The sequence below is a fragment of the Homo sapiens genome, chromosome 6, assembly GCF_000001405.40.
Source record: "Homo sapiens chromosome 6, GRCh38.p14 Primary Assembly".
NCBI lineage: Eukaryota > Metazoa > Chordata > Mammalia > Primates > Hominidae > Homo > Homo sapiens.
In genome coordinates, this window is record NC_000006.12 from 105,021,631 (window position 1) to 105,042,214 (window position 20,584).

The 20,584-nt window shown below is 33.6% G+C and overlaps 1 protein-coding gene across 3 annotated transcripts in view; it reads left to right on the forward strand.

The window, feature by feature from the left end:
• Window positions 1–20,584, forward strand: part of LIN28B (lin-28 RNA binding posttranscriptional regulator B) — a 146,307-nt gene that overhangs the window by 84,605 nt on the left and 41,118 nt on the right. For all 3 annotated transcript variants that reach the window (XM_006715477.3, NM_001410939.1, NM_001004317.4), the window contains one exon: window positions 4,668–4,852. In XM_006715477.3, coding sequence (XP_006715540.2) covers window positions 4,668–4,852 — 185 coding nt within the window. The remainder of the gene's footprint in view (window positions 1–4,667; window positions 4,853–20,584) is intronic.

Here is a 20,584-nt window from a genome sequence, read left to right on the forward strand (position 1 = left end):
ATTTGTATGTCTTATTTGCAAAATGTCTATTCATGTTCTTTGCTCACTATTTTTGTTGTTTGAGTTCCTTGTATATTCTGGATATTAATCTACCTGTCAGATAACTAATTTGCAAATATTTTCTCCCATTCCGCAGGGTGTCTGTTCACTCTGTTGATTATTTCTTTTGCTGTGAAGAAGGAGGCTTTTTAGTTTAAGTCTTTTTTGTCTATTTTTGCCTTGCTGTTGAGGTCTTACCAAGTAAGATTTTAATAGAAAGCCATGACTAGGAGAGTACATCCCCGACTGGAATAAGATAGAATACAGAAATGAGAAAATATTCAGAGAAATATAAGTTATCCAGTTTTACTAATGGAGGGATTGTGTTTTAGAGTAATGGGAAATGAAGTGGAAAATGTAAGTAAGGTAAGATTATGAAGGATCTCACCTACAACCTAAGAGCAGAATTGTAGATTTTTGAGACAAGGGTCTCAAAAAAAGATTTTTGAGACAAGGGACTTAACAGGCTAAGATTTATTGAGAGAGAATGTGCAGGTATGGAAGATGATGTAGAGTAATGAGCAGTTGTGATGCTGAGATGCCAGTGAAGAAACTATTACACTTATCTTGGTAGAAGATAGTGTAAACTTTCCCTTTGCCTTCTGAAGATTCACTAAAAATTACTGACAAGAGGCAGATTAATAGGAGAAAAGGCTTACAAGTTTATTTGATCATAGTTTTACCGTGACACAGGAGCCTCCAGAATGATGATTCAAAAATTCAGGGGAAATTGTACATTTTTAGGCATATGTTTAACAAAGTATAGACAGCTGTAAAGAAATATAATTGGACAAAAAGATTATGTATGATCTAATGCTAACAGACTGAGTAGGGAAACCCAGCAAGGTCTGTCTGTCTAGATTTTTCTTGGCCTCTCTGAGCATGCATTCCTGCCTTTTGGGTATGGGCAGGATCTTCTCTGATTGGAGGTCTTACTGACTCAGAGTCAAACAAGGTAGGTCAGTTTTTGCACAGAAAGGTCTGGGTGGGGATGGAATTAGAGTAATGTTTTTAGGTTTTATGGCTGGCTTTGGGGAAAAGGGGTTCTGGTTCTGTAACCTACCTTGGAGAAGAGGGATTCCAGTTTCTATGGCTAGCCTTGCGGGGAAATGAGACTGAGAAACAGGAAGACTGGAGAAGGTCAGAGAAAAACTGCTTCTAAAGTTTTCTTTTTTGTTGTATTGTTTTCTGAATCCCAGCAATAGTTAAGACCTGAAGTAGGGTGATAGCAATCCAATGAAGTGGATGGGGCAGATGAGAGAGGAGAGATAGTAAGCAAAAATAAACAAGATTCCATAAATGGTTTGGGTAAAAGTAAGCATTGGAACCAGTGTAATTGGAAAAATGGAGAAACCTTCAATAAAAATTGGCAAGTTAAGGGGATAAGTTGATTTTTGGGGGAACAAATACAGGGAGCTAATTCCTTACCTTTCAACAATCTTTTCCACCTATGTAGCAGCTATTTTGGTCTAATAGCAAAGACAGAGTATTCTGTGTGAATTCTTGTCTTTTTCTTGCAAAGCCATTATAGTTTCTTATGGATATATATATATATATAATATATATTATATTATATATTATTTATATATAATTATTATTTATTATTATATATATAAATAATATATATATTTATATATAATTATATTATATATAATATATATAATTATATTATATATAATATATATAATTATATTATATATAATATATATAATTATATTATATATAATATATATAATTATATTATATATAATATATATAATTATATTATATATAATATATATAATTATATTATATATAATATATATAATTATATTATATATAATATATATAATTATATTATATAATATATATAATTATATTATATAATATATATAATATATAACCTATATATATATATAATATATATAATATATATTATATATATTATATATATAAAATATATAATATATATTATATATTTTATATATATAAAATATATAATATATATATATTTTTTTGCCAAGTATTATGAAACTAAATTGCCTTATGGACTAATTTGGGGAGGGGGACATATATGATAGAACTTTTTAAAGTATTCTTTCAGAATATCATGAACAACAGCTAGAATTTATTAGTTTGTAAGAGCTGGAATTTTACTTTAGATTTGGAAAAGCAGTTCACTTATAAGATACCTATCAAAAATCATAATAATGGAAAATTAAATTAAGTGAAAGTATACCAGCTTAATTGAGTTCACTAGGAACTATGCACCAACTCCTACAAAAGTGCACTTAAGAGCTATGAGGAGTTAAGTGATAGAGTTTTGTTTGTTTGTTTGGTTGTTTTTTTTTGAGACAGGGTTTCCACTCCATTGCCCAGGCTGGAGTGCAGTGACACGATCTCGATCTCCGCTCACTGCAACCTCCGCCTCCCAGGTTCAACTGATTCTTCTGCCTCAGCCTCCCAAGTAGCTGGGATTACAGGCGAGCGCCACCACACCTGGCTAATTTTTTGTATTTTTTTAGTAGAGACGGGGTTTTGCCACGTTGGCCAGGCTGGTCTTGAACTCCTGACCTCAGGTGATCTGCCCGCCTTGGCCTCCCAAAGTGCTGGGATTACAGGTGTGAGCTACCGCGCTTAGCCCAGTGATAGAGTTTTTGTTGCCAAAACAAAACATATGAACATATGATAGCTCTAATAAAAAATGCTGTTTCTTTGTTCTCATAATTTCAGTAGCTGAACTATGCTCCATTTCATCTGTAAAAGAGAAATAATCTGTACCTTCTTGAGTGGAGAGGGAGAAAGGAAATGAAAGCAAAATAACTATTTATAATTAGTGAAGAGAAAGCTTAGGAAAAAATGAGAAGATGCTTTAGAAATGTTAAAATAGCTTTAATAATAATACTTTATTATTTTAAAGAATGTAGGCAGTTGTGATTTTTTCCCCCAACATTTCATCAGAGAGCAGAAAAGGTGCTGCCAAATTGCAGACTTCCACATGAAAGATTTCACTATGCCAGGTGACCTGCACTAGAAGCAGGTTAATAACCCTGTTTTCATGGGCTGTCTTGCTTTCACAATGAATGGTCTCCTTTTGCAATGAATTTTTGAAGTTTTGTTTTTATTTATTCTATGTAATAATTTGGCTACATGTAATTATTTAGCTGCCTTTAGAGTCATGGACTTGGAGAATTGAAGATTTTCTGGTCCAATATTTCTCTAAGTATGTTCGTCATCTGTACTTAAAGAAGGGGCTCTGGGATCAATTAGGTCAGGAAACTGCTGAGTTAAAAAAGATTTTTAGTTTTGTGGGAGTTGGGGAGGTGAGAACATTCCTGAGACTTTAATATGCTAATATGAGTCTCTCACAGAGAAACAACATACAGTGTTTTACAAACTTACTTGACCACAAAACCTTTTTCTCGTGGTCTTGTTGTTACTCAGAACTCAAATCTTTTGAATTTACAAATGAACAGAAACGACAGCAAATGGCTTATTCAAAGCAATATAGCAGTTTATTTAAAGAACTGGACTTGAACTAAGGACTTCTACCATCATGTTTTATTTCTGTTGCCCCACCAATTCAGGAGAGTCTTTAAAAACTACATGATATTCTAAATTAGATCTGTAAAATGTACACAGAGGGGTTTGAAAAAATAAATAAAACTACTGATTGAATTATTTTTAGTATATTTTGAACTGGCACATTGACTTTGATGAAAAGAGGATTGAAAGAGCCAAATAATATTTGAAACCAAAATCAACAATTTTGTAATTGGTGAACATTGTTATTTTTACAAAAAATCAGCTATCTTTCAAATATGAAATCTGATTTCCTTTCAAATTATAAAAAGCTCAAACGACGCAGTAATGTATATACCAGAAAACTTTGCTACCTTTCTAGAACGGGACTGGAGAAAACGACTCTTTAGTGTCTGTTGTTTCAGACCACATCTCTATATAATAAACATATATCTTTTAAAAACTTTAGCTGGACTCTGCATGTGCCTGTTATCTCAGCTACTCAGAAGGCTGAGGCTAGAAAATCCCAGAAGTTCAAGACCAGCTTGGGCAACATAGTGAGTCCCATATCAAAAATAAATAAACAAAATTAAAATTTTACATAGATAGCATTATGGTAGACACAGTTCTTTAACTCTTTTTTTTTTTAACTCAACAATATGACATGCTTATCTTTCTACATTAGAACATGTAGAACTAATAAAACTTCTCTTAATGGCTTAATAATGTTATATGGTGCTATTATATTAATAATTTATTTAATCAGTTTCCCATTGATAGATGTTCAGATAGATGTAATTATTTTTTACCAATCAGTGCTGTGGTATCTTTTTGAGCCTTTGTGTATGTCTGTAGTAGAATTATTAATTGTGGAATTGCTGGGACAAAGAATATGCACATTTTAATTTTTCTAAGTATTGCCAAATTGCCTTAAAAATTTTTTTCTCCCACTGCCAGTATTGCAAAAAGAAACTTTAAAATGGTATATGTTTCACTGAACTTAAGACTTTATACTTTTGTAATGCATGACAGAGTATCTTTCTTTTTTAAAATTATAGAGATAATTTATAAAGCAATGATAATTTTAATCTCTCTTTTTCTCCCCCACCCTCTTCTGCTCTTTACAGAGCAAACTATTCATGGAAGGATTTAGAAGCCTAAAAGAAGGAGAACCAGTGGAATTCACATTTAAAAAATCTTCCAAAGGCCTTGAGTCAATACGGGTAACAGGACCTGGTGGGAGCCCCTGTTTAGGAAGTGAAAGAAGACCCAAAGGGAAGACACTACAGAAAAGAAAACCAAAGGGAGATAGGTAATCATTTTTACTTTGTTAATTTATCAGTTTATTGTGTTTGGAAAGGATTTCTGAAAATGTTTTCATCTTACTGCATTTCATATTGTCTAGCCAAAGGAAACCACCATCATGTAGAATATATTAAATATCAGAAATATAGGCTATCTTGCAGTTTGAATTATCTGCAGAATGTACTGAACTGAGCCTTCAGCATTAAGCACTGAATAGTTCCTTGACCACCTTTTCCACCAGACTGTTCTGAGACCCCAGTTGAGGAGTTGAAGTTCCCAATAGATAGAGGTGCCCCTTTTTACACCCAGAATTTGCCAAACACCTCACCTCTTTTTTCAAATGAAAATGTACCTATTGTTTTGTCTGTTTTTGAAAGACAGCTCACGTATAGAAAGTCCAAATAATATAAAAACCGTAAAGAGGAAAAAATCACTTGAAATCCTAGAGGTGGGAATTATAATATATATGGTATTTTGAAACTTGTAATTTTTTTCACCTAATAGTATATTATAGAATATTTCATGTCAATTGTTATCACTTCATAAATTTTACTATTTGAATGTACCAAAATATAATTTAAAGAATAATATGTTAGTGGATATTTAGGCTACCTCATGTATTTTGAATTGATCAATAACACCACTGTGGGAACTCTTAGATGTACATTTTTGAAAAGTTGTCTGATTATATCTTTAGGGTAAATACTTAATAGTGAAAATCTGGATCAAAAAAATATGTATTTTAAAAATTTCAATACCTAGTTCTAAACTACTCTCCAGAAATGATTAGCGGGCCAGTATGTAACACCTCTGAAAGTGAGACAGCTCATTGAATGTTGTCTTTTTAAAATCTTTTCCAGTTACATAGGTTAGAGATGTAGCTCATTGTTTGTTTGTGGTTTTTTTCACATTATTTGATTACTTTGGAGGTTGAATATATTTTATATGTTTTCATTTTTTTCTTCTAAGAATTGTACATTTCTTGTCCATTGACCATTTTCTATTGAGATGTTTGTTTGTTATTATTGATTTCTAAGTTCTCTTGATATATTTAGGATATGAATCTTTCTTCTCAAATAAAAAATAAGAAATTTTTTTAGCTTATAAAATATATTTTATCTTTAATGATAGTTTTTAAAAAGTATTTTGAAGTTTTGAATTTTTTACAGACAAGTCTGTGACTCTCCTTGATGTTACCTGACTTTATTTCATTTTCCAAACTACAAAATTAAAAATATGCTATATTCATTTATGTTTTTAGTATTATTTTAGTTAATTTATATTTTACACTTAAGTATCTCTTCTCTTTATAATCTAATTTGCTTTTGAAGAAAGAACTGTAAAGGTCTAGGTTTTCTTTTCTCTCCAAATTGGTAACCAGTTATCTCTGTAGCACTTGTTGCCTATTTCATATTTTCCTATTGGTTTGAAAAGCTATCCAGTGAAACAATAAATTCCATTTTCATTGACATTTTTAGGAGCTCATTTTGTACAAAAGAAAGTCCATGAATGTGTGTGAAAGTTTAATGATACACTTAGCTATTAAAGTGGTTTTCTGCTCCCATGGAGATAATACCTGCATACATACTTAAATACGTACAAGTAAAGCAAAGTAAAATAAAACAGCCCTTTATTTTTCCATGTCTTTTAGATAAAATCTTTAACAAAGTAGTTCTAGAATGCTTTACATTCCAATTCTGGGTTGGAATCAGTATGTGAGGGAGAATAGTGGAGGTTGAGATTTGAAGAGTAAGATGGCAGGACATTTTTTCATATTGGATCTTGTCAACCATTTTAAGGACTTTGATTCTGGAGAAAATAGGAAGTCATTGGGAAATTTTAGGTTGAAAAGTAACATGATCTGATTTACTCAGAGTATCATTCTGGCAGCTGCAATGACAGCACAATGTGGAGAGGCAAGGATAGAAGCTGAAAGACCACTAAAGAAGAAGTTCCAATAATACAGAAAAGAGCTAGTGGTGGTTTGGACAAGGGTAGTAGCAGTAGAAGTGGTGAACAAAAATTCTGATATGTTTTGAAGGAAGAGACCATAGAATTTACTGATGGATTGATTAGATTTGGACTATCAGAGGAAAAGAGTCCAGGGTGACTCCAAGGTTTTTTGGCCTATACAACAGGAAAGATGAAGGGACTATTTATCAAGATGGGGAAACCTACAGAAGGAGCCTGAAATCAAAAGTATAGTTTCAGACATTTAATTAGAGATACATAATGCACATCCAAGTGAAGATGTATATTAGGCAGATGGATGCACTATATGGAGTTCCAGCACTGGAGTTAAAAAATTGGCAACATTTAGCAAAAAGATGATATTTACAGCCACAAGAGGAGATAAGATCACCATCACAGTGAGTATACATAGGTAAGAAGAGGACTAAGCCCTGGGGCACTCTAGCATTTAAGAGTCAAGAAGAGGGAGGAACAGCAAAGGGCACTAAGTAAGAAGGTGGGAAATAGGAGGGAAAGTCAGGGAAAGAAAATATTTCAAGAAAGGGTATCAGGTATGTTAAATGGTGCTGATGGTGAAATGATCAAGTAAGATAACCATTGAAACTTGACCGCTTAGCAACACGGAAGTCATTATTGAGGTCTGAGGTTGACAAGAACGGGCTGAGTGGACTGGTGGGGGTGAAAGCCTTCGTGGGTTGTGTTCAATACAGAGAATGAAAACAGAGGAAGCAGAGACAGCAAGTTTAGACAATCTTTTGAGAAGTGTTTCTATAATAAATGGGAGGAAAGAAACAAAGCAGTGGCTAAATGGAAGAAATTATAGCATGTTTATATGTTCATAGGAATGGTCTAGTGCAAAGGAAAGATTGAACATGCAGGAGAGAGGAGAACGATTACTGGAGTGATTTCCTTGAGTGGGTGACAGTATTGGGATTTAAAGCACAACTGGGGGAGCTGATCATGTGAGTACAGAAGGTTCATTCTTACAAACCTGGAGGAAAGGCGTAGCTTATGGGCACAGATGCAGGTGGTAGATAGATATGAAGGTAGGATAAGGCGAGATTTCTCTTTTTTATGCTGGTTTTTTTTTTCTTTGAATTTGAAGCACGGTCATCAACTGAGAGTGATGGTAGAAGAGTAGGTTTGGAAATTTAACAAGAAAGACGTATAAAATAGAAGAATGAACACATTATAGAAAAGAGGTAGAATTTCAGGCTGTGCCAAAGACCCACATAAGAATAGTGGGTACGAATTTAAAGTCAGTTAATGTGATTGTGTTTTTTCTCCAGCCATTGTTGACTTCATGGCTACAGCTGTAAAACAGTCATTAAAATGATTTAACTAGAGTTGAGGTTTTTCCTAGTTGAGAATGACAAAGGGCACTGGAGATGTATGCAGGGCAGCAAATGTAATGATGGATGATAGAATATAAACTGTATAAAGAGTGAAGACATTGAAAAGGTGGTAAGTAAACACATGGGGTGTGGGTTGCAGTGGAGTCAAAGAATTATAGTTGGGGTACTGATCTGGCAAGGTACGAGGTGGTGGTGGTCAGAAGTGAATAACTGTTCCAACTCCTTACTCTTACTGTGTGTCTTATTGTAATTAAAGCTTTGACACACTTAATATCTAATAATTTCCAACTTTCTATTAAGCTAAGGGTGTCCATAATTTTTGTCACTAGGATTAGCAATTCCAGTTTTCCATGTGCTGCTTGTTTTTACAAAATGGTGTAGAGACAACATACAATAAAATATTCAATAAACATAGAGACTCCTGCATAGAAACTGACACCATGAGAAAACAAGATTTGACAGTGTGGTAGCAAGAAATGGATCTTTGTCAGCTGATGGCTGGAACAGTTACCAAGGCATGATTTGCTCCCCAAATGTTTAAAAAACTTCAAAGATCTTTGATAACTTTCTTGATTTCTTTCATGGTTATTTCCTGAGACAGTTTTAGTAATGAGAATAAAATTGTGCTTTGATCCAGATTTTATGTTTATTAGTACAATTATGTGAAGCAGCCTTGAAAATCTTATAAAATATTTGATTCTCTAGTTATTTCCTATTGCTATTTTTTCTTGATAAGATAATGTATTGTATTTCAAAGAACAGGCTCTTGAATTAATTTCTTTCTTTCTTTCTTTTTTTTTTTTTTTTTTTTTGGAGACAGAGTTTGCTCTTGTCGCCCAGTCTGGAGTGCAATGGCCTGATCTAGGCTCATTGCAACCACTGCCTCCTGGGTTCAAGCAATTCTCCTGCCTCAGCCTCCCGAGTAGCCGGGACTACAGGTGTGCACCACTGTGCCTGGCTAATTTTGTATTTTTAATAGAGATGGGTTTTCACCATGTTGGCCAGGCTGGTCTCGAATCCTGGACCTCAGGTGATTCGCCTGCCTCAGCCTCCCAAAGATTACAGGCGTGAGCTACTGCACCCTGCCTCTTGGATTAATTTCTGTTATACTGTTTTTCCCCTAATACTTCCTGTGATTATTTTTATTTCCTTCTATTTTATTTTATTTTGACTTTTATTATGAAAATTTTTAGAATACAAAAAGGTAGGAAAAATTAAGTATGGCCGCCAAACATGTATGCCCACCTTACCTATTTAAAGTGGCTTCTTTTTCCTTTTTTAATAAGCATTTTGTGGGGAGATATTTTGACTATGTAAATATCCCATTCACCATCAAACTTTTAAATTTTCATTTATTATATTAGTCTGAACCATGGATTTCTGCATTTTTCTGAAAGTTATAATCTGTAACCACCGTTATTTATTTTACTGGTCAAATTTCCCAGATTTGACCAGTAGGAGCCCCTTCAGGCTGGTTTCTGTGTCCTTTTGATGGGTCCTCATCATTTTTTGAGTACTTTCTTACTGGTATAAGATACTTTCATACTGACCTTATGGCCTACAAAATGTTTAAAATAATGATATTAAATAATTGATTTGGTCTGCTGATGTACCAGAAAGCTAGAATTCCAGTTAATTTATATTAAATTTGGAAGTAAGCATTGGTATATTTCTGTATATAAATATATACATAATATTAAATTGTCATATAGTAAAATTGACCTTTTTTCTTTTTTTTCTTTTTTTTTTTGAAATGGAGTCTGGCTCCATCGCCCAGGCTGGAGTGCAGTGGCGCAGTCTTGGCTCACTGCAAGCTCTGCCTCCCAGGTTCACACCATTCTCCTGCCTCAGCCTCCCGAGTAGCCGGGACCACAGGCACCCACCACCACACGTCGCTAATTTTTTATATTTTTTTAGTAGAGACGGAGTTTCACCGTGTTAGCCAGGATGGTCTCAATCTCCTGACCTCGTGATCCGCCCGCCTTGGCCTCCCAAAGTGAAAATTGAATTTTTTTCTTTTGGTATTCAGTTAGATGAATTTTAACACACATATACATTCCTGTAGTCAGTACCATCATCCAGATTCAGAAAGTTTATTACCCCCAAAAATCTCCCTCTATCTATAATGGTTACCCCTTCCCCACCTATAACCCCTGGCAGCCTCTGACCTATTCTCTTTCACTGTAGTTTTGTGTTTTTGTGAATGACATGTAAGTGGAATCATACAGTGTGTAACATTTTGAAATTGCATTTTTTCACTCAGCATAATAATCTTTGAAATTCATCCAAGCTGTTGAGTGTATCAGTAGTTCACTTTTTTGCTGAATAGTATTCCATTTTATAGCTATAACACTGTTTACTTATTAATCTATTGAAGGGCATTTGAGTGGTGTCCAGTTGTGACAATTATGAATAGAACAGCCATAAACATTTATGCACAAGTGTGTGAAGATTCATTTTCAGTTTTGGAGTGGGATTGCTGCATAATAAGGTCATATATGTATGTTTAACTTTATAAAAAACTGCCAAATTGTTTTCCAGAGTAATTATTTTTCTTTTGCATTCCCACCACTGGTATGTGAGAGTTCGAACTGCCACCTATCTTTGCCAGCATTTGGTATTGCCAATTTTTAAAAATTTTGGCCCCGTGTGGTGGCTCACACCTTTAACACCAACACTTTGGGAGGCCGAGGCCAGTGAATTGCTTGAGCCCAGAAGTTTGAACCTAGCCTGGGCAACATGGAGAAACCCTGTCATTGCAAAAAGTAAAAAAATTAGCTGGGCATGGTGGTGCATCCCTGTTGTCCCAGCTACTTGTACTGAGATGGGAGGATCACTTGAGCCTGAGAGGTCAAAGATGCAGTGGGTCGTGATCAGTCTACTGCACCCTAGCCAGGGTGACAGCAAGACCCTGCCTCAAAAAAAAAAAAATTTTTTTTAACCATTCTGTTAGGCGTGTGGTGATATCTCATCATGGTTTTAATTTTCATTTCCTTAATAGCTACTGATATTAAGCAACTTTATATGTATTTTTGTGTCACCCTCATATACTCTTTGACAAACTGTTTCTTCATATCTTTTGCCCATTTTTTACTGGGTTGTGTGTTTTCTTATTGCACTTTAAGAACTCTTTGTGTAAGTTTTTTTTGCCAGATACATGATTTGTAGATATTTTCTCCCTGACTGTGGCTTGTCGTTTCAATCTCTTAAATATCTTTTCTAGAACAAAAGTTTTTAATTTGAATGAAGATGATTTATCAATCTTTACATTTTCTGTTTACATCAATGATCCATTTAGAGTTAGTTTTTATATAAAGTGTAAGGCCTAGGTAGAGGTTCATTTCTGCCATGTGTAATATGAATTGTTCAAACATCGTTTATTGAAAAGAATATCCTTTTTCTTGAAATGTTTTTAGATTAGAAAGTTTAGTTTCTGTCATTTTTGGTTAAAAATTGAAATTTCAAAGTTTTGATTACATGGTATTAATATGTTTAACAAATTCCAAATATGATTTCATCACTTGAGAACTTATTTGTTCAATTCTAATGTTTGTATATAAGGTAGAATCATATTTTGTGAAGAGTTACTCCCTGTGGCAAAAAAAATGTAAAATAATTTTGAAGATTCCACTTTAATTATTAGTAGACTGTTTATAAAAGAAAATGGGATTATTTTATTCTCTCTTAAAATTCTGCTTAATTTAGCGTCCACTTACAACTTTCTGGTTACTCAAGGTAGTAAATATTGTGTTGTTTTATTTTAAATCCTCCACATTTGAAAAGTTTTCTTAACATTTCAAACGAAATAATTTCTGATTTTTTTCTATTTAGTTTTTCTTAAGTTCATTACAAAAAGAGTAAAGAAATTTAACGAGTCTATACAGCTGTCTTTATAAAAAAGTGAAGATTGTTAATAAAAAATTAAGAAATGTTATATTTCTTCTATAAAACTAGCCTATACTTGGGACTTTTTGTTCTCTTTAAAAACATGATTTACTATGAAGAAAAAGAGTGAGTGACTTCCAACATAATGAAATTATGGGTGAGGGTGGTAGAATTATTTTCTTTGCCACAGTTGATTTCTATTATTTATATGAAATAATCATGTCAGCCTGTAGTACATAATTAAATATATAATATAATTTTAGTTTATATTAACAGATATGTTAAATATGTAAAAAGGATTTAGACTAAAATGGTCTGGAAATCTTTTTTATATATAGTTTAAATGTTTTTACTCCTTAATACTTGGTGAATAAAAATGTGCATAATTTTAAAGAACACAAAGTGCATGGATATGTAGTGTATATGTTGGTTGTATACATATAGCTTTGTAATTTTTAACTGTTCATGGTTTCTTTTTTTACCTCCTTTTTAAATTCCGATTTTTTTAGAGTAGTGACTGTCTTTTTTGTTTTTCTTAACCTTCCACATATTTTGACCCAACCACATATTCCAAGAAGTGTCATTCATAATAATGCAGTGTTGACTTGAATTTTTAAAAATAACTTAGAAAATAATACATTCTGCTGCTTTTATTTCATTTTGTTCAATATTTAGTTTTTATAACTACGTTAGTATGAGTAAGCTTTTTGATTTTCTACATGAGTTAAAGTGGTAATATATTTTGTTTAGAAAGAAGGCTAATAGACTGTTAAAAAAAAGATGTTTGATGTTACTACTTTTGGCTTGGAAGCTTGGGGAATTTCTTTAGTTTGATCATAGTAGAAGAATTTGTTAACTTATCATTTTTAAGATGCTACTTATTTAGATTTAAAAATTGATTGTGAAATTTAACATTCCTTGTAGTCAGTACTAAAATGGTACATCATGGTGTATTTATCATTTATGATCAGAAAGACCAAGATGAACAGAAACAGAAACCAATTATGTCTGATTTATTCTTAGCTCACATGAATTAACTTGCCTTTTTAAAAAAGAAAGTGGAGATGTGTGATAGTAAAGTTATTTTTGTAGAGCCATAATTTTGTGGCCTCAAATTCTTTAAATTTGCAAGAAAATTTTATAAGCCATTAGGTTTTTGTTTTTGGGATTACGAGAATCAGTGTGGGCTTCCTTATTGAGGTGCTGTAAATTCACATTTCTTTATTAAACAGAAAAATATTTATTTATTGCCCTCATTCAGTTTTAGAGCAAGTAAGCTGAAAACTAACTAGTGGTAATTCTGCCCCACTCCCACCCACCTCTACAGCAATATTAACCTCTTCCACTCATTATCTCAGTGGTATAATTTGACATTTTTCCAGGTACTTTATGCTTGGGAAATCTAGTATTATATTTTTGAAATCTCCATAGCATTCCTGAAAACAGAAAAAAACCCATGTTTAGGTTTATGGTGTCATTTTATTAAAGAATATCTGTTTTACTTTTAAAATTCTGTCAAGGATTTTATTTTTTATGTGTATTATATCCCAGATTCTGTTCCCAAAATAAAAATAAAAATGCTTTTTAGATGATAGAGATGTTTGAAATGTAGATCAACAAATACCAATAAATAACTGTTTCACCCTGATACTTGTGTGATTAGATTTAGGAATTTGCTGTTTAGTAGGTTCCTATTGTGGCAGAGAAATCTTTCAGGCATGAATTGATAGTCTAGATCCTTTGAGGTCTGTCTATTCTGACCTATAACCCCTATTCTTACAAGGTCAACATCTGAGGGCAGGAGATTAAGGCAGTTTAAAGACCAGAATGGTAAATGGAATGGAAAAATTAGCCAGCACATTTTGGTTGCAAAACATCAAAGTCATCAAATAGTTTGCTTATTTTAAACCTGGCTTATGGTTATAACAAGCTAATTTTATTGTGTTTGTTGGAATCAGAAAAGTTTAATCACTATGGTTTACTTCAAGGTACTATTTATATAATAATAAATTTTAGCTGCATAATACAAATTAAGTTCACATAGCTTACCCTCAAAATATCAGGAAATGTAAAAATAGTTTGTCACAATATCAATACATTTTAGTCTTGTATGCATTTGTATACTTAATTTAAATTTAAATTGGGAAAATATTTACTTCAGCTTTTACTATGAAATATTTAATTTATCAACACTGTTGCATAAAATATATACATATGGTAATATGAAGTGACTGAGGATTTAGTTGTAATTATACAATGTTGACTTTTGGGAAAAAAATAGTTTTAAAAGATGGAGGTAGAAAGTAAAAGAAGGTAAATTGATTAGGGAGAGACAATTTGTTCATTTTTCTCCTTTGCCTTTTTGAGACTGCTCTTTTAAATTTTGTCTTTCCCCTTTAAAATGTTCCTTATATCTTTTACTTGTATGCTTTTTTTCATTGTAACTCCGAACTATAGATCAGTTGATATCCCTTCTTAGTTTCTATATTTTGGTCCCTGTAAGAAATTCCCCACAACTCTTTATTTTACATTTGTTTGTATCCTGGACAGCTGTGAATTTGCATCTTGTACTTCCTACTAATGACTGGCAGAGGCTCGAGTTGAATAACTAAACTATTGCATCCAAATTTTCAGTCATCCATATGGTGACTAAGGAAATTAGTAAAACCAGTAGAATACCCAAGTCTTCTTAATTCTTCTGTATTTTTAATTCTATCCCAAGTTTCTTTATTATAGCCTAATTTTAGGATGGTTATCCAAGTCCTTTCTTCTTGTGATTATTTGGCCAGGGATCTCTTAATGAGGCAATTATAGTTGTTTCCTTCATTCACATTATCTTAGCAGATGCTCTCCCTGCTGTGACCTCTGTTCAGACTGGGCAGACAATGTGCCATTCTCATCACCCTCTGCCAGACATTGTGTGGAGCTGAGCTTCATTTGGCGCTGCATAGGTCTCCCAAGATGCCATTGGAATGGTCAGAAGCCAAGTGGCAAATAATCAGAATTTTAGGTTGATTTTCTGATTGCTGATTATAATAAATAATAAAATAATGCCTACAGAAAAAAAGTTCCAGAAGCAACTCTAATAATAGTTCAAGTAGAAATTATGGATTTAAGAAGTAACTTAGCTTTCTTGCTTTAGACTGTGGCCTTGGTGAAATTAGATCATATATTTATTGTATGATTTCGGTACAAGGGTATTGTGATAATTTGGTAGTATTTTAGAAATTTGATATCCTTTCTAAAAAGGAAATTAATTTAGCCTCTAATATTAAGTATGTAGATGTTTAAATGAACATTATGACATTGTTCAGAGTATCACTTGTAAATTTTAACGTCACTTAAATTTTAAAAATTATGCTTAAATGTCTTAAACATAAATTATCATGATTTATATCTGCTAACTATGACATCCAATCTGTTCCTGTGTGAACAGAGTAAGAGCTGATCAAGATGAAGACTGATCAACAGAAAATTTTGTTACTTGCACTGCTGAATCCTTCCACTGAATTTGTTACTTGCACTGCTGAATCCTTCCACTGAAATACTAGTTCTGCATCCCAAACCCCAGTAACAATCTAGGGGAATCACAAAGTTTTCAGCAGTCTCCAGCTAGACTTTTTAAATTCTACATAATAAGGATATGCAAGTCAAATTCTGTTCTAATAAATTTGAAGAGCTTATATAAAGATTCTTCCAAATTCACATTGGCATTTTAATTTTTGAAATTTGGTTAAAATAACAGATTAAGAGCTACAACTTTTCTCTCCTCCCCTCACTTCTCCTCCCCTCTCCTCCCCCTCCTCCCCCTCCTCCCCGCTCCCTTCCCCTCTCTTTTTTTTTTGAGACAGGGTCTCACTCTGTCACCCAGGCTGCAGTGCAGTGGTGCAGTCTTGGCTTACTGCAACCTCCACCTCTCAAGTTCAGGTGATCCTTTCACCTCAGCCTCCCAAGCAGCTGGGACTACACATGTGCACCACCACACCCTAATTTTTGTATTTTTTTTTAGAGACTGGGTTTTGCCACGTTGCCCAGGCTGGTCTCAAACTCCTGACCTCAAGTGATCCGCCTGCCTCGGCCTCCCAAAGTGCTGGGATTACAGACGTGAGCTACTGCGCCCGGCCAAGAGTTACAACTTGAACTGTTCTCATAAAGAGATGTTTCTTTTTTTTGGAATAATAGGATTACCTTATTTATATTAAATTTATTTTGTATATATATGGTCCTGGGAAAATTGTCTATCTGTAGAGAAAGAGTAAGATTGGACCCCTACCTTATACCATTTTTAAAGACATAAGGCAAAGCTTTACAACAATATTAGAAGGAAATACAGGATAATATTCCTGTGATCTTAGGTTTGGGAAAGATCTTTTTAAAAGAAGGTACAAACAGTACAAACCATAAGGGATAAGATTAATAAAATTGCTCTAAAATTTAAACTTCTACCAGGCAAAGGTTTCAGTCAGACAGATAAAACCACTCAAAGTATCTATAGAAATTAGGGATTTAGACCTTATACGTTATGTGGGAGTTGCAGGGCAATGGAAGAGTCAGTGTTTTAGAGAAATAGTCATTAACCAGTCTTCAGAAGCACTGGGCTGAGGGGTACAAATCAGAGCTTGCAGGGAATTCCAAAAAGCCAGGCACATGTGACTATGAAAAGGGAACTGGAAGAGGGAGTCTCTGGAGAGGCCTGTGGAAACTGCTGCCTCCGAGTGGACCAGTGGCAGGCTGCTGTTGGTCAGCAGGGCCAACAGTTGGGAAAACAAGCTGAGCACAGAGCACCAGAGAGAGAACAGCTGGGACCTGCTGGGCAGGTCTGTGTCTGTTACCAAGTCTGGCCAGGTCCAAGAATAATGACTTCTTCACTTCCAAATCTTGTACAAGTTTCTCTTTTGGTTGACTCTACCTCAGAACCATCCAGAGAAGGAGATTTCTGTGAAATACAGGTGCTAGCCGTAACCAAACTGACATTTCAATCTAGCATCATTAATATAAACAAAGTTAGAGTGGGAAAAGATATTTCCAGTGCATGTAATTGATAAATAATTAATATCCAAAAAGCACTACAAATCAAAAAGAAAAAACAAAGCCTGACAGAAATGAACAAATAGTAATTCATAAAGAAAAATATTCACTGAAAAACTGTGTGGCATTACTAACCTAAATGAGACATCATTTCACTCATGTTGAACTAGCAGAAATTTCAAAGTCTGACAGTACCAAGCATTGTGAAGAACGTTCCACAATACTGATGGGATTCTTGACACTACCACTTCATAGAGCAATTTGGCAATATCTGGTGGAAGATTGTTCATATCTTTTTACTCCACTTCTGGGTAGATTTTTCATGGCAGTGTTTTTCAAACTGTGGGTTGGGGCCCACTGGTGGCTTTGAGATCTATTTGATGGGTTATGACCAGTATTATTAATTTTAAAAAATGAGATAGAATAAAAATCATCAGAGCACTTTGCATGTAGTAAGAGTAACTTGTTTCATAAACTTTTGAGTTGTGGTGTGTGTATTTGTGCGAGTACTGAATCAAGATTGAAAATGTTTTCTCAATGTGGGGCATGGTCATTTTCACACAAAGAGAATTATGCAAAAATGTTACTTAGAGCATTGTTTGTAGTAACAAAAAACTAGAAACCTAAATGTCTGTAAATGAGAATTTTTAAATTATAGTATATTCTTAGGATGATATGGCAGTTAAAGTGAACATATTAGAGCTACATCTCAAGGATAACTCCTTTTTTAAAAACCCTACTGTATTGTTGAATAAAAATGTAAGTTGCACAGAGTGTATGAAATTTACTCCATCTATATTAATTTTTTAAAACCATCAAATGATATTATGTATTATGTATGGATACTTACATGTGTGGCAAAAATGTGAAAACATGATAAACCCTAAATTCATGAGAGTACTTACTCTTAAGAGGCAGAGAAGAGAATGGGATTGTGGGAGTATGCAGATTATATTTAACCATTTGTTCAAGTTATTTTGAAACCTTCAGTAGGGTATTCATATATAATAGATTCCACACCTTATGCTATTTATTTTTAGGTATTGTAGTTTTTGATGCTATTTTGAATGAATTTTTTTTCTTCAGTTTTAACTGGTTCTTGCCTACTGTAGAGAAAAGCTGTGTAAAGATTTAGGGGAAAGTTTTGTCTCTTTTCCAAGAGTTGTACCTATTCTTTTCTTAGGAATACACTCAAACTTCCTAAGCAGTGTTGAATGATGCTGATGACAGCAAGCATTTTGTCTTCCAATTTAATGAAAATAGCTTTAATATTTCAAGTTTAGTCTGATGTTTGCTATTGTTTTTCAGTAAATAATCATGTTTAAATTGCTTTCTTTTTCTCCTCGTTTACTCAGAGTTTTTACTGTGGATGGCTGCTAAATTATTATATCAAAAATGTTTTCAGCATCTCTCGACATAATTAATTTTCTACTCTAGTATATTGATAAAGTGAGTTACATCTATAGATTTTATGAAGTTAAAGCATTCTTACATTCCTGTGTGGAAGTGGGACCCTTTTTAGTCATTATTTGCTTATTCAGTTTCATCATATTTATCAGTCATACATAACTAGGACTTTTTGTGTACTTTCCTCTTTAAGTTTTATTAAATTTATTAAGATTATTCTAGTCTCATGAATTAGTGAGTTTTCTGTCTCTGTATTGCTGTATAGTTTAACATAATACGAATTTAAGTAGTAGTCTCCTCTCAAGTGATAAATAATAGATTTCTTCTTTCATGGGAAAAACATCACAACTTGTGTTTATATTTATTTACTATATACCTTTTATTTTTATGTTTTATAATGTATACTAGTATATACCTGATATTATAAATACACACAAATACACATTATATGTATATTTGTATTTACATATAATGGGGTAGGTGTTCAAAAAAAATTCTTACTAATAAGTGTGCATGATCAAAATAATTTAGAGCCCACAACTTTAAAAGGTAATAGAACTAAGCTATAAACACCAAAGCCCTTCGCATTTTGTAGTTAAAAAAATTGTCCAGAGCTTTCTCATATCTATTAGAGTTTTCTGTTTCCTTTTCAATCGGATTTGGTATATTTTACTAAGAAATTATTTACTTCCATTAGATTTTCTAATTTGTGCCAAAAATTGAAAGAAGATTTTCTTATATCTTTAAATTTCCTCCTTATATGCAATTGGATTTTTTATTTATTTCTTTTATTTTTTTATTTTTTGAGACAAGTTCTCTCACTCTGGTTGCCCAGGCTGGAGCACAGTGGTAGAATCTTGGCTCACTGCAGCCTCGACCTCCTGGGCTCAGGTGATTCTCCCACCTCAGCCTCCTGAGCAGCTTGGATTACAGGCACACACCAACACAACCAATAATTTTTTTTTTTTTTAGTAGAGACAGGGTTTCACCATGTTGCCCAGGCTGTTCTTGAACTCCTGGGCTCAAGCAATCCTCCCGCCTCAGCCTCCCAGAGTGCTGGGATTACAGGTGTGAGCCACCACACCTAGCCTGCAATTGGATTTTAGTAATTCCTAACATTTTAGGTTTTCATTTTCTTTTTTTCTCATTTAGGCATCTCGCGAATTTACCTTTTCAAATAATTACCTTTTATCTACAATTTTGCCTGTTTTTTGTTTCTTTCAGATCTCACTTGTATAATGTCTTCTTTGTTAATTTTGTTATATTTTTCTTTCTATTTTCATAAGTTGGATGCTTAATTTATCTTCAGTCTTTATTTTTATAGGTACTATGGATTTCAGACCATAAATATTCTTTTAGGAAAAACTTAATTGTTTTGCACAGGTTTCAGTATGAAGTTCTAGGTTTTTTTTGTTATTTTCTAGATAATTTGATACTTAGTCTTGATTTTCACTGTGCTGGCTACTCTGAAATCCAGTGCTGTTAAAGGGTTGTTGTTTATCATCTGACTGGAGGTATAGTGGTCATAAGTGTTTCTGGTGCAAGTTACACAAATGAACTCATCATGGCTGAAAGTAGTTGTTCTCAATGTCATTTTTGGACCAGCATCAGCATCACATGGGATCTTGCTTAAAATGCACACTCTAAGGCCTGACCCTAGACTTAACCTGGGGTGTTGAGCTCAGCCATTGTGTTTTTTTTCTTCTTTCTTCCAACAAACCTCTGGGTAATTTTGATATATTGTAAGTTTGAGATCCCTTGGCCTGGCATGGGAGGGTGATGTGGGAAGAAATCTGTTGAATCACGTAGTTTATAATTCCAGGAATTAAAATAGTTCAGATACATCTGGATTTGAGTGCTCAATCCTAGTGCCAAGAGGGATAGAATTCCCAGCAATTCTCACAAAAGTTCAGAATTAATTTTGTTGATCTAGCCTAGAATGTGATAATCTGATTCGCTAGACATGAATCATTTGCCCACTCTGTGCTGGGGAGTCAGGTGAACTCCCACCCCCATCTAAACCACAAGAATTAAAAGTAGGGGAAAGAGGATTCTCCAGAAGAAAAAGTGCCATTATGAGTAGAGACACTGAA